Genomic DNA, 14028 nt, shown 5'->3' on the forward strand with positions numbered 1-14028 from the left:
TGAGAAAATTTTTTGGCAATTTAAAAATAATTAAACTTTGAATCTGGCAGAAACATCAAGTTTATAAAACCAAAGTAGGCTGGGTGCAGTGGCTCACGCCTGTAATCCCAGCTCTTTGGGAGGCTGAGGCAGGCAGATCACAAGTTCAGGAGTTTGAGACCAGCCTGGCCAACATGGTGAAACCCCGTCTCTACTAAAAATACAAAAAATTAGCCAGGCGTGGTGGAGCGTGCCTGTAGTCCCAGCTACTCAGGAGGCTGCGGCAGGAGAATCGCTTGAACCCAGGAGGCGGAGGTTGCAGTGAGCAGAGATCACACCATTGCACTCTAGCCTGGATGACAGACCAAGAATCCATCTCAAAAAAAAAAAAAAAAAAAAAACCAAAGTAGAGAAATAATTTAGTAGTTACATTTAAATAATAAAAATATAAATCCAAAAACTACTTGCAAAACAAAGTAATATCAGTTTTTTAAAAAGTTATTGATATTATGCAGTTGGTCCTTGAACAACAAGTGTTTAAACTGTGAGGGTCCACTTTTATATAAATTTTTTTCAGAAAATATATTGAAATTTTATTTGGAGATTTGTGACAATTTGAAAACACTTGCAAACCAACTGTGTAGCCTAAAAACATTTAAAAAATAAAAAAAAGTTACATATGTCATGAATGCATTTAATATATGTAGATACTAGTTTATCACTGACTACCACAAAATATATACAAATCTATTATAAAAAGTTAAAATGTATCAAAACTTACATACAACTTACAGAGAAATGTAAACAAATGTGAAGATGCAGTCATAACTACATAAAACTAGGCCAGGCACGGTGGCTCACGCCTGTAATCCCAGCACTCTGGGAGGTGGAGACAGGCGGATCACCTGAGGTCAGGAGTTCGAGACCAGCCTGGCCAACATGGCGAAACCCCATCTCTATTAAATATACAGAAATTAGCTTGGCGTGGTGGTGGGCACCTGTAATCCCAGCTACTCGGGAGGCTGAGGCAGGAGAATCACTTGAACTCGTGAGGCGGAGGTTGCAGTGAGCTGAGATTGCACCACTGCACTCCAGCCTGGATGACAGAGCGAGACTCTGCCTCAAAAAAAATAAATAAATCAAAGATTCTGCCTCAAAAAAAGAAAAATCATAACTACATAAAATTAACTGTAGTACACACTGTACTACTATAATAATTTTGTTGCCACTTCTTGTTGGTACTGTGGTGAGCCTATGTTGTGAGTATCCACTTAAAACCTGTATGAAGCTAATCATTTCCAGGTGAGCAGTTCAGCTCTCCAGTAAATTGCATGTCACAGTAAAAAATGATCTCTTGCAGTTCTCATGTGTTTCTCATACTGTTTAGTGCAAAACCATAAATTTCAAATAACATCATGGGACTAATATGAAGTGCCACTAGTGATGCTGAAAGTTCTCCCAAGAAGCAGAGAAAAGTCATGACATTACAAGAAAAGTTGAATTGCCTGACATATACCATAGATTTAAGTTGCTCACCATTTCAGACAGATGATTCATCCTGTAAGCAGATGATATAAACTTATGGTATCAATACAGCATGGTACTATAAACACAGTTGATCCTTGAATGACAATGGGTTTTAGGTTTGAACTGCACAGGTCCACTTATATGTGGATTTCCTTCCACCTCTGCCATCTCTGAGACAGCAAGACCAACCCCTTCTCTTCCTCCTCCTCAGCCTACTCAACACGAGGACAATGAAGATGAAGACCTTTATGATGACTGACTTCCATTTAATTAATAGTAAACACATTTTCTCTTCCTTATGATTTTCTTAATAAGATTCTTTTCTCTAGCTTACTTTATTGTAAGAACATAGTACATAATACATATGGCATACAAATTATGTGTTAACCATTTGTTCATGTTATTGGTAAGGCTTCTGGTCAACAGGAGACTACTACTAGTTAAGTTTTTGGGGAGTCAAAAGCTACACACAGATTTTCAACTCCATGGGGGTCAATGCCTATAACCTTTGCATTGTTCAAGGATCAACTGTAATCAGTTTGTTACCTAACATTTTCATTAGTGATTATTTTATATACTGATTTGCCATTAATAGAAACTATAATTATCAGATGGAAAATTATTCTTATTAAAGGAAAACTTTTTCAGTTCATTTTATATATCATCACTCTGTTTAAAATAAACTCTTTTAACACTAGAGCTTAAAGGTATATATAAAAAAGGCAAATCATGGCAAATTTACAAGACACCATTAATTCTACACACTTAAAGCCAAAAGAATGTAATTCATTTCAAACATACTTGATTATGATTAGGTAAAGGTGAGAGGTGACACTTTATAGAATTAGGTACATAATCCTGGTTGGTATTCCAGGTCTCCTACTTACAATTTTAGCCTCTTTATCTACTACTTCTCCAGTTATGAACTACTTGTCAGATGAAATGGACAAATCTCTATTTTTTAAATTATTTCTTTTAAAAAATGTATTACTAAAAATACCATTAATGTAAGTAATCATATTAAAATTCTGAAAAGTATTAACATAGGAAAAACACAGTACTTATAACTAATACACACTCCCAATGTAAAACAAGATTAGCTCCTTTAAAAATGCATTTTAATAATTAACTTTTGGAAAATATAGTTATTTAATAATCAACTAAATAGTACCTTCAATAGACTACAAGAAGGAAATTCTGGTAGAAAACGTAATTTATTCCTCCGCAAATAAAGCAATTCTAGTGATTCCATGCCAGCCAATTCAGGAGGTATAGTTTCCAAGAGATTTGAATTACAATCCAAATGCTTCAACCCTGTAATATATATTCAGTAAAAAACAAAAATAGAGAAAAAAAAATTAGTTTCTGATCGTATACAACTTTAAAGAATGTGTAAGAAATCGCTATGAGGACTTATGAACCTGTGCCATATAATCAAGAATATTCAAACACCACTGAATTAAATAAATGTAAATTTTTCTACATTTAATTATAATTAAAGAGAAATAGTAACATAAAAATTATTACTTAGGCCAGTTGTGCTGTAATGCCAGCACTTTGGGAGGCCCGAGGTGGGCGGATCACTTGAGTTCTGGAGTTCAAGACCAGCCTGGGCAACATATAGTGAAACATCGTCTCTACTAAAAATTAAAAAAAAATTAGCTGGGCATGGTGGTGCATGCCTGTAGTCCCAGCTACTTGGGAGGTTGAGGCAGGAAGAATGCTTGAGTCTGGGAGATCGAGGCTGCACTGAGCTATGATCATGTCATTGCACCCCAGCCTGGGCAATTTAACAACAGTCCCGGTCATTTTTGTAATACATTTAAAAATAAAGTTCTGGTACTCTGTTAAAGTACAACTAAATGTACTCTGTGTAACAGCTTAAAAGTATCATTGTCATGGCTGAGAAACAAAAGCATCTGGTCATTAATAACACTGGATATTAGAAAAATTACTATAAACTCAAATGTATTTTTAAGTTGATTTATCAACTTAAGTTGAGATGTTCCTATCTCTCAAGATATTTCCACTCAATTTATGAAAAAAGTCCATGCTGCTTATGTCTTCGTTCTAGATATATTTTACATTTAGCTGCTCTTTATAATATCCTTATTGAAAAAAATGACAAATACAGCAAAATCTTAACTATTGGTATCCCAGGTAAAGACTCCCCTAAAATGTCAATTTGATTTAGGGCAGATTTAACTTATTTTAAAACTCCAATTTTAAACAACAAATAACTATTAATCTAAAGCAAAACAACACAATTTTAGAAATTTACCTCAAAACTATCTGCAATTGAATGCAGGCAATCATTTCTATGACTTGCCAAACAAAAGGGAGGTTTTAAAATTGAAGAAGGCTTACAAATGATCAGAAAAAAAAAAGGCTAACCATCAACCAAGAAATAGTTACAAAATAACAGTTTTTTTATTAATTTATTTTATTTTATTTTTTGAGAGAGAGAGAAGAGGTCTCACTATGTTGCCCAGGCTTCAGTGTAGTGGATATTCAAAGGGGCAATCCCACTATTGATCAGATGGGAGTTTTGACCTGCTCTGTTTCTGACCTGGGTTGGTTCACCCCTCCTTAGGCAACCTGGTGGTCCCCCACTATGGGAGGTCACCATGATGCTGCTGAACTTATGTGGATACCCGATTGGCATAGCGCACTACAGCCCAGAACTCCCTAGGCTCAAGCGATCCTCCTGCCTCAGCCACCTGGGTAACTGGGACTACAGACACAAGCCACAGTGCCTGGTAATAACAGTTTCTTTAAACAAACAAACAAAAAAATCACTAATGATTTTAGACTCTTAAGAATTTTATATTGAAGTATACTAATTTAAAAGGTACTAAAATGTACCTTGACTTTTTTAATCCCTTAATGTTAGTTCTACAATACTTCAGATATTATGGTTTGATGGCAAATTTTAACAGAACCAATAAATTTTGACATTTTGGTTCTTTTAAAAAAGATTGACAACCTGGGACCTCAGACAAAACAAGACTTATTTCTCGACATTATTACTTATGGACCATGAGGAGGCTACAGCTATAATACAACTAAATATCATAGGTAGATTCACCAGTAAGAGGGGACTAACCTCTTTATGAATGTTGAATGAATGAATGAAAGACAGTATAGCTTAGGTATATAATCCTACTACAACGAATAATCATATTTTCTTCTTTTTCATATGCCTAAGTATCTTTATGATGGTATTTCTTTAGACAGTTGATACATAATAATGGTCTGGAGAAAATCTGACTAGTTGCTATTGTTTGCATTTACCACTATAAAAATCTACTACTTTAGTTCTCTGTAACTATATTAAAAATTACTTTCTAAATGTAAGTTGCACCAACTTCAAATTTATGTATTATGTAAAACAGAAAATATTTACTTTTCATTCTATTTATTTCTGCTGGCAAACTCTTCAGTTCATTACTAGAAAGATTGAGTCGCACCAGACTGGACAGAGAAGAAAAACTAGCAGGAACAGTTGTAAGATGATTGTTTGAAAGATCCTTTAAAAAGAGAAAGACAAAATAAATGAATAAACAAGTAAAAAAATAAATAAATAATGCCCTAAAAAGGATTTCAAATTTTTGAAGGAATTACAACATAAAAGAGACTACTTAAGATGTGATAAGTTGTGTAACTCTCATTCACTGAAAATTTCACAGATCATCATTCATTTCAAGATTGATTTTCAATATCTGCAGGCCCACTATATGTTCATCAATGGTAGTAGACAGGATATAAATGAATTCTAACTTCAAAAATATTTTACATAACGGATTCTGTTAAAACAAAGTCATGCCATATTATGCATCATATTTTCAATGCAAAAATTCATGTATTCATCCAATATTTATGAAGTGCCTAAGAAGAATTAGGCATATTATTAATAAACTGTCATGTGAAATGAAAAACATCTTTGCAAGAAAGAAAAATTCCTGAGAAAAGGAAAAATGAAGCTGAAAAAAACGGCCATTCAAATTTTTGAGGAAAAAAAAATATTTTCTATTGGTTCTTCTGCTGACCTCAGAAAGTCAGATCTGATTGGTACCAGAAGTCTACCCTCTACTCTTCATTCACTCAAGATTGCTTAATTAATCGCTATACCTCCTGTTTCTTTAAATGATTATGTTTGCTTTTTCTTTAAATAGTTTTAAGAGAACTTTTTTTTGAAACTCCCTTTAAAAGACGTTGTTATGAATCAGGTAATTTTTATAACACTCAAATTAGGTGTAAATTGCTCCACTACATAACAGCAAAGTGTTAAGCAGTGTCAATGGCAACAATGAATAAGATTTTCATTTAATATAACATTAAACAACCTAACACTAAACAATTCATTTAATCTAACAGTAACATTTTGTAACTCTGAAGAAACCAAGAAGATAGAAAAAGGTAAAAATACTGGATCAAATCTTTTTTTAAAAACATACTGTTATAATTATTTTATAACAATATATTATCATAATCTACAACATACAACATAACATATTCTACAACTCTAATACTAAAAACTCTAAGAATCAAAAGATTGCTAATAAATATTTTGTAGTATCAAAAGTTACTAACACTAAATGCAATGTGGTATCCTGCATTGGACTCTGAAACAAAAACAAGGACATTAGTGGAAAAACTGGGAAAATCTAAATAACGTCTGCAGTTTAATTAGTATTGTACCAATGTGAACATCTGAGTGTTCCTGTGGTTATATCAATATTAACATTAAAGAAAGTTGGATGTAGGGTATATGAGAACTCTTTTACTATATTTGCTTTTCTATAAACCTAAAATTATTCTAAAATAAAAAGCCTAAAATAAAAAGTTACTAACAAAAAACTTAATTCAGAAATTGTCAAAGCATTTTTAAAAACCCAAATAATTCTAATAAACCCCCTTGTAAATTCTACATAAAATTACTAATAAAGTTAAATAATTACTGCAGTTAGTAATTGTTAGATATAAAACATAAATACACTATATAAATTAATCCATATTTATGCCAAGTCATTCCTTTAACAAATAATTAGTTGCATTGTGCTAAGCAGTTTTTATACAAGTTTAAGAAATATTACTAGTTTAAATTATAGGTGTTTAATCTGTTTTAATATATTGTTGCTCACATTTATGATTTGATACTGAGTCTGTAGAACACAATTCTGAAATGAAACATTCTTTCATTATGTAAACGAGTCTCTGGGAACATGTGGGTGGATAGTAGAAATTTTATTTATTTTAAATTTTCCTTTCAGCTCTCAACTCCAAATGGACTCTTTTAAATCAACTGCTACCTTTTACCACCAATTTTTATAAGAAAATCTGATGGCTTCCTCCTTTGCCATTCATTTTATCTACCTATGCCTTTTACTTATTTCCCATCTGATCATTTGGAAAGACAAGAAGACACTGAAGGAATGGTTGAGAAGAGTATATATTTTGACTTTTAAACTCTAGAACAAATGAGGGAAGTATCAAGGAGGATGTACACACAGCAAAAATAGAAAAGGAGTAATTTCTTCCTTTAATGAAAAGCAAGCTAAAATGACAGGAGTTTTCCAAAACATGTAAGAGGGAAAAGAATAACAATGCAATATGAATTAACTATGTGGAGTAGATATTATATATTAGTACCTTCGATTTAATACAGCTAAAGTCTTTCAGATGGTATAGCCTGCAGTGGAATCTTATTCCTTTGGTGGTAAAATGGAAAAAAAAAAAGAGATGGATACACTTTGGAGTTAAATTGACTTACACTCAAATTCTAATTTTGTTACTTGTTAGTTGTGTTACTTTTGACAAATTTTCTTTTCTCTGTCTCTTTCTTTCTTCCTTTCTCTCTCTTTCTTTTTCTTTCCTCTCTCTCTCTTTTTTTGAGACAGGGTCTCCTGTCATCCACGCTGGAGTGCAGTGGCTCAATCATGGCTCACTAAAGCCTCAGCCTCCCTGACTCAGGCAACTTCCCTGCCTCAGCCTTCTGAGTAGCTGAGACTTACAGGCACGTGCCACCACACCTGGATAATTTTTGTATTCTTTGTAGAGACAGGTTTTTTGCCATGTTTTCCAGGCTGGTCTCGAACTCCTGGGCTCAAAAAATCCACCCACCTTGGCTTCCCAAAGTGACAGAATTACAGGCACGAACTACCACACCTAGCTCCAAATTTCCTTTTTATCAGCTTTACTTTCTTATTGTATTAGGGGATATTACATTGCCATATGTAATGCTCAAAGATAAATGTCTATTGTTTTTATTATTCTTAATAATACGACTAGACTAGCAGTGGCTCATGCCCGTAATGCCAGAACTTTGGGAGGCTGAGGAGGGTGGATCATTTGAGGTCAGGAGTTCAAGATCAGTCTGGCCAAATGGTGAAACCCCGTCTCTACTAAAAATACAAAAATTAGCCGGGCAGTAGAGGTGCATGCCTGTAATCCCAGCTACTTGGGAGGCTGAGGCAGGAGAATCGCTTGAACCTGGGAGGTGGAGGTTGCAGTGAGCGAGATTGCGCCACTGCACTCCAGTCTGGGTGACAGGGTAAGACCATGTCCCCCCAAAAATAAAATAATAATAAAAATATGACTAAAATAATATTTGTATTGCTTTACAGTTATCTCTATTTAAGGTAAGTGAAACAATGGAATTAAAATTTTGCCAGGAAGTGTGGCCATTCTGAAAAGTAGAGAAGACAGACCTTCAGTGAATTACCTGGACATTTGGAAGGCAGAAGGGCCGCAGGTAATATAAGGAAGGAAATGGAAATGGGTATAGAAAAGAGAATTGGTATATGCTAAAGACAACTTTCCTCTATTCTGCTATGCTGTAAAGCCTCTGAATAACAAAGTAATCTTCATTGCACCTTTCCCAAACTCTTCCTAAATTAAAACTTAAAGTTGATTTCATAATACAGGAAAACCAAATTTACAGTGACAAATTTAGCTATCTTATTGAAATGCACATTTCTGATAATCTAATCACAAAATCAGCTGTCCATGTTCCCACAGTTTCAATCATCTATCTTAATTTCTCAGCCTGATGAAAAATCCCACCAGCCCCAAATTGTACAAAAATTGGAAAATCAGAACTTACTAAATCTTCTAAATTGGAAAGTTGTTCAAATCCCTCTGATATGCAGGTTAATTCATTATGCTGGAGATACAGGCACTTCAGGTTTCTTAGGTTTGTAATTTCTTCAGGGAGTATTTTCAGTTTATTATGGCTATTGGTTGATAAAATAAATGATGAATAATTTAGTGGCAATACAATAAATATTTATCAAAGACATTTCTTGCTAACCAATGACACTGGACTCATAAAAATCAAATATAGTTACTAACTTTAAGTACTTATCAAAATTCATATCCAAAAATATGTACTCATTAAAATAATAGTAATCTAAAGTAACCACATTGGGGTTTCAAAGAAAAATAACAAAGAAATAAAGGCTTTTAGCCAAACATAAATAATTTGTGATGTTTTGATTGCATGCTTATAATCAACTCTTGATTTGACATGCAATGTGATAGGACATACTAGACACTTAATTTGTTATACTGTGATATGCTTTGGTTGTGTCCCCACACAAATTTCATCTTGAATTGTACTCCCATAATTCCCACATGTTGTGTGAGGAACCTGGTGGGAGATAGTATGAATCATGGGAGCGGTTTCCCCCATACTGTTCTCGTGGTAGTGAATAAGTCTCATGAGTCCTGATGGTTTTATCAGGGGTTTCCAATTTTGCATCTTCCTCATTTTTCTCCTGCTGCTGCCATGTAAGAAGTGCCTTTTGCCTCCCACCATGATTCTGAGGCATCCCCAGCCATGTGGAACTGTAAGTCCAATTAAACCTCTTTTTCTTCCCAGTCTCGGGTATGTCTTTATCAGCAGCATGAAAACGGACTAATACATACTATAACTGACTTTCAGAATTTTGACAAAACTATATGCACACATATACCACAATGGAGTTACATCTTATATGTTCGGTTTTAAGGCAAAAATAGCTATTTCTGTTTGAGGACCTAGGATGTCAAGTTGAATGTAATATGGAATTCCACTCTTCTTCATACTTGGTCTTTTCAGTTAAGCCCTTCTGTAGAGATATTCAGTGTAATGGTTTAGAAGTCCCAAATCATGGAGGATGATAGACTTCATGATAATTAAGAGATGACTGAACTAGTTCCCAGGTTTATCACAACTTAAATACTCACTTACGAATTCCATGCTATTTTCATGCCATATACAGTTACTTTACAAATAACAGGGGGAAAATGGGAAATACAAGGTGCTTACAATAACCCTAAATTACAGTAAAATAAAACTAGTTGGGACAAAAAAAGTCAAATGATGTCTTCTAAAACAAGAACCAATAATATTGTTAAGTCGGTTACTGTTATTGGTTACCTAGCTGAAATCTTTGCACACTTGATAGGGATCTAACTGGGGAGAGAGATAATTTTAGCTATAGATTTCCTCCATCTCCTTTTCTTAGCTAATTACTCCATCCTAAGATTCATACTTTTTTTAAACTTCTTCACTGAGAACACACCTACATACTCTTAAGTATAGAATCTAAAGCTTAAGCCATGTCACTCAACACTTACTGCTTCCTCTCTTCCTCTCAACAATCCCCACTCTTGTCTTTACAGGCCACGTCTATGCCTTTGACTTGTAAGGGGAAGATACTGTGATGGAGTTCTAAATAATTAGCACCTTTTTATGTATATATATTTTCATTGGCCAATGGTAATTTTATGTTTTCCACCAAATAAGGAGTGTTACTGGGAGGGACTATTTTCCCTCAAACCAGTTAGCTTATCTCCAGAAAACAAACTTGACTATATTACATTACATAGATCTGTAACCGTATCTATTTTATAAGCCACAGTTTTTCAAACTATGCTTTAAGTTCCTGAACCATTTTTTTCTACTCCAAAATAAGACCTCTTTAAATCTCCTTTCCCATAGCCTATGTCTATATAACAAACAAAGGCAAAGTTATTCTTTCTTAAAAGTCTGGGTATGTATCAGAGAGCAAACAGAGTTAGCTACAATCTTTGCCACTGAACATCCCATGTACCAGTATGTCCATGACAGTTACAAAAATATATCCGTAGAATCCCAGGAGTCCTTGGAGAAGTTTAAAAACGACTACTAATAAAAACTATGAAGTATTTCATTTATGAAAGAATTGTTTTACATTTCTTCCTTATTGTTTAGATATTTTTAGAATATCAAGGTAACTTAAAAGTTGAGACATCAACAAAGAGGTTTACTACAATAACAAACCACTAAGAATTGTTTTATAAAAAAAAAAAAATTTAAGCATTTAAAAAAAATCAACTAGCCTTGCATTTATAAAATCAGAAATGATGGGGGTAATGCTAAAACAAAGAAAAAAACATACAAACTAAGAATTAAAGCTTTAAAAAACTTAAAATTCTTATTCTGCTTTAACTACTTTCTGAGATAATTCAAAGATATTTTTAATGTTGAGAAAATTTAAAGAATATTAGATTTAAACCATTATAAGGGCAATAATATAAGTAAATAAGCTTAATTTTTACCTGACATTAAGTTTCTGAAGATTTTCTAGCTCTCTTATAGCAGAAGGAAGGGATGTCAACTGATTATCATGTATCTAAAAGTTTTTAAAAGACAAAGTCAATATTCTTAGTCTTATCATTAACAATATATAAGCTTTGCCAGTGTACAAAACTATTAGTCAGTAATCTCCTGTTCCTCAAATTCAATGGCAACAAGTTGAACTACTGTTCAACATACTTGTTCTGTATGTAGAACAGTTTGAAGATGACCAAACGGCTGTTCAGAAATCATGAAGTAAGGCCAGGTGCAGTGGCTCACACCTGTAATCCCAGCACTTTGGGAGGCCGAAGAAGGCAAATCGCTTGTACCCAGGAGTTTGAGACTAGCCTAGGCAAATTAGTGAGACCTTGTCTCTACAAAAAAAAAAAAAATTCTTATTAGTCAGGCGTAGTGGCGCACACCTGTAGCCCCATCTACTCAGAAGGCTGAGGTGGGAAGATTGCTTGAGCCTAGGAGGTCAAGGCTGCAGTGAGCCCACATTGTGCCACTGCACTCCAGCCTGGGCTACAGAGTGAGACCCTGTCTCAAAAAATGGAAGAGAAGAGAAGAGAAGAGAAGAGAAGAGAAGAGAAGAGAAGAGAAGAGAAGAGAAGTCATGAAGTGTTAAGTCAACCACTTTAAATATTATACTAAGAAAAATTTCAACTCATTAGTAGAGTTTCAATTTCAAAGAAGAGATGAGGGGGTTAGAAACTAAAAACAGCTCTCTGATGATATGATTTATGTCAATATATACAAAAATTATATGAGAAAAGAGAAAGGGACTTTTCTCATGTTCTCACAGAATCAGTTTTTAAGGTAGAAAGAACCTTAGAGTAAGCCAATCCATTCATTTTACAAATGAAGAAAATAAAAAGTTCCCTAAAAATTGATCTATTTAGATTCTACTTTTCAACACATGAATTGGAGGACTTTTTATGTTGATAAGTAAAGTATACCAGATTGTGAAGCCCGCAGATTATGAAATATACTCCTTGTGCTTCACTTTACCACAGGACATGGCAACAAAGGACTAAAAAGAATCCCTGAATAAAAACACAAAAAAATTAAGTTCAATAATTTAACTCAATGAGGTTGAAGGCAAGTAATACATATACATATAGACTTGCTTTAATATCTAGAATAATAATGATAAAAATTGTAACAATAGGCCAGGTGCAGTAGCTCACGCCTGTAATCCCAGCACTTGGGAGGCTGAGGCAGGAGGAGAGTTTGAGGACAGGAGTTCAAGACCAGTCTGGGAAACATAGTGAGACCCTCATCTCTACACACACAAAAAAAAATAGCCGGGTGTGGTGGCATGCACCTATAGTCCCAGCTACTTGGGAGACTGAGGCAGGAGAATTGCTGGAGTCCATAAGTTCAAGGCTGCAGTGAGCCATGATCACGCCACTATTTTGCCTGTGCAAAATAGTAATAAGAAAAAAAAGATGAGCAGAAATAACCACTTGTTGAATATTGATTCTGTCTGTATTCATTAACTTATTTAATTCTACAAACAAAATTTTTAAATAGGTAGTAGTATCAGTCTTGGTTTACAGATGTGGAGACTAAGGCACAGAGAGGTAACTCTCCCCAGGTCACACAGCCATTAATAGCAGAAGTCAGAATTAGAAACTTGGTGTTCTGATCCTGCACTTTTAACCATTATGCTATGCCTAGAATGATAATTTACTATCTGTCCTTGCATTACCAACTCAACATGAAAGGTTTTCTGCTACCAAAGCCTAAATTTAGCTTTAGAGTCTCTTCAATTAATAATCCATATTTATAGTCAGTCAACTTACATCAAGAACAGTCAGTGCAGGCAAGAGTCGCAGGTCATCTGTAAGTGACTGAAGTTTATTGTTTGATATTATTAGTTTGGTCAAATCTGTCTGCTCCCACCATCTTTCAGTAGCACCAAACGAAAGATTCTGATTAGCTTCCTCAGGGATATCCACATTTATTCTCCAGACACACTGCGGCACTAGTTCCATCAGCACCACACCAGGAAAAAAAAAAAAAAAAAAAAAGATGAAAACCAGAACTAGATACTAAGTGACATGCTTTTATAATAGCCATTCCATTTATCTATTGAAAAACATTTTCTAAAACAAAAAATAAGTTAAATAGCAATAAATATAACTAGAGTGAAAGTTGATTTTATTTAAAAAGGCTATATATCAATAATATGTCCTCTACACATTAGCTCTCACTTTAACCTTCATTCAACTATATTTACTAGGTTTACATACACTGATTAGCACATACACTGCACAGCACATTGTGGTAAATATGTACAACAAAGAATGCATTCTACCATCAGGCTAACAGATTAATAGAGAAGGCATGGAAATCAACATGTATATGTAATAACTTTTATAACAGAAGTATATACTAAGGCTCAGAAAGAACTAGTAATAATGGCTAACACTTATAAATACTTCTAACATACTAATTCACTTAAACCTTGGAACAATTCTGCAAAGTAGGTGTTATTATTCCCATTGGATGGATGAGAAAAATAGAGCACAAAGAAAATGTATAATTTGGCCAGGGTTACAAAGCTAGACAAGTACCACAGATGTGATTCAATGCCTGGCAGTGCTATACTGTCTTGCTTTCTATTAACATTTGGGAGAAATATCTGACTTTGGTAGCTACTCTTTATTTTATCTGACATACAATTTTATTTCTTATGGCACCATACAACACTGTGTTATGCTATTGCAGCAAGTGATGACACCTGTATAGAAAATAAGACTGTACAAATTGAGCAGGGATAACTTGAAGCTCCAGAAGGTAGAATGCTGTAGTGTTGTAGCAAAACTATTTTCAATAGAGTCCTTCACTGCTCGGTAAAAGTAGAACTACATTTAGGGATGATGTAGAACTTCAAGCTGGTATTAATCAAG

General features: G+C 34.2%; 1 protein-coding gene and 1 pseudogene across 4 annotated transcripts in view; both read right to left on the reverse strand.

Moving 5' to 3' along the window:
* The window catches only part of LRRC40 (leucine rich repeat containing 40), a 60775-nt gene that overhangs the window by 31369 nt on the left and 15378 nt on the right, over positions 1–14028 (reverse strand). For 2 of the 4 annotated variants that reach the window (NM_017768.5, XM_047424519.1), the window contains exons 2-6: positions 12919–13100; positions 11092–11165; positions 8612–8741; positions 4913–5036; positions 2678–2820 (exon numbers count right to left, since the gene is read on the reverse strand). In NM_017768.5, the coding sequence (NP_060238.3) occupies positions 2678–2820; positions 4913–5036; positions 8612–8741; positions 11092–11165; positions 12919–13100 (653 nt within the window). Of the gene's footprint in view, positions 1–2677; positions 2821–4912; positions 5037–8611; positions 8742–11091; positions 11166–12918; positions 13101–14028 lie in introns of those variants that run through there. The other 2 variants (XM_047424520.1, XM_011541763.2) reach the window with 2 other exon arrangements.
* Positions 3971–4266, reverse strand: RN7SL242P (RNA, 7SL, cytoplasmic 242, pseudogene; annotated as a pseudogene).

The sequence above is a fragment of the Homo sapiens genome, chromosome 1, assembly GCF_000001405.40.
Source record: "Homo sapiens chromosome 1, GRCh38.p14 Primary Assembly".
In the NCBI taxonomy this organism is placed as follows: Eukaryota; Metazoa; Chordata; class Mammalia; order Primates; family Hominidae; genus Homo; species Homo sapiens.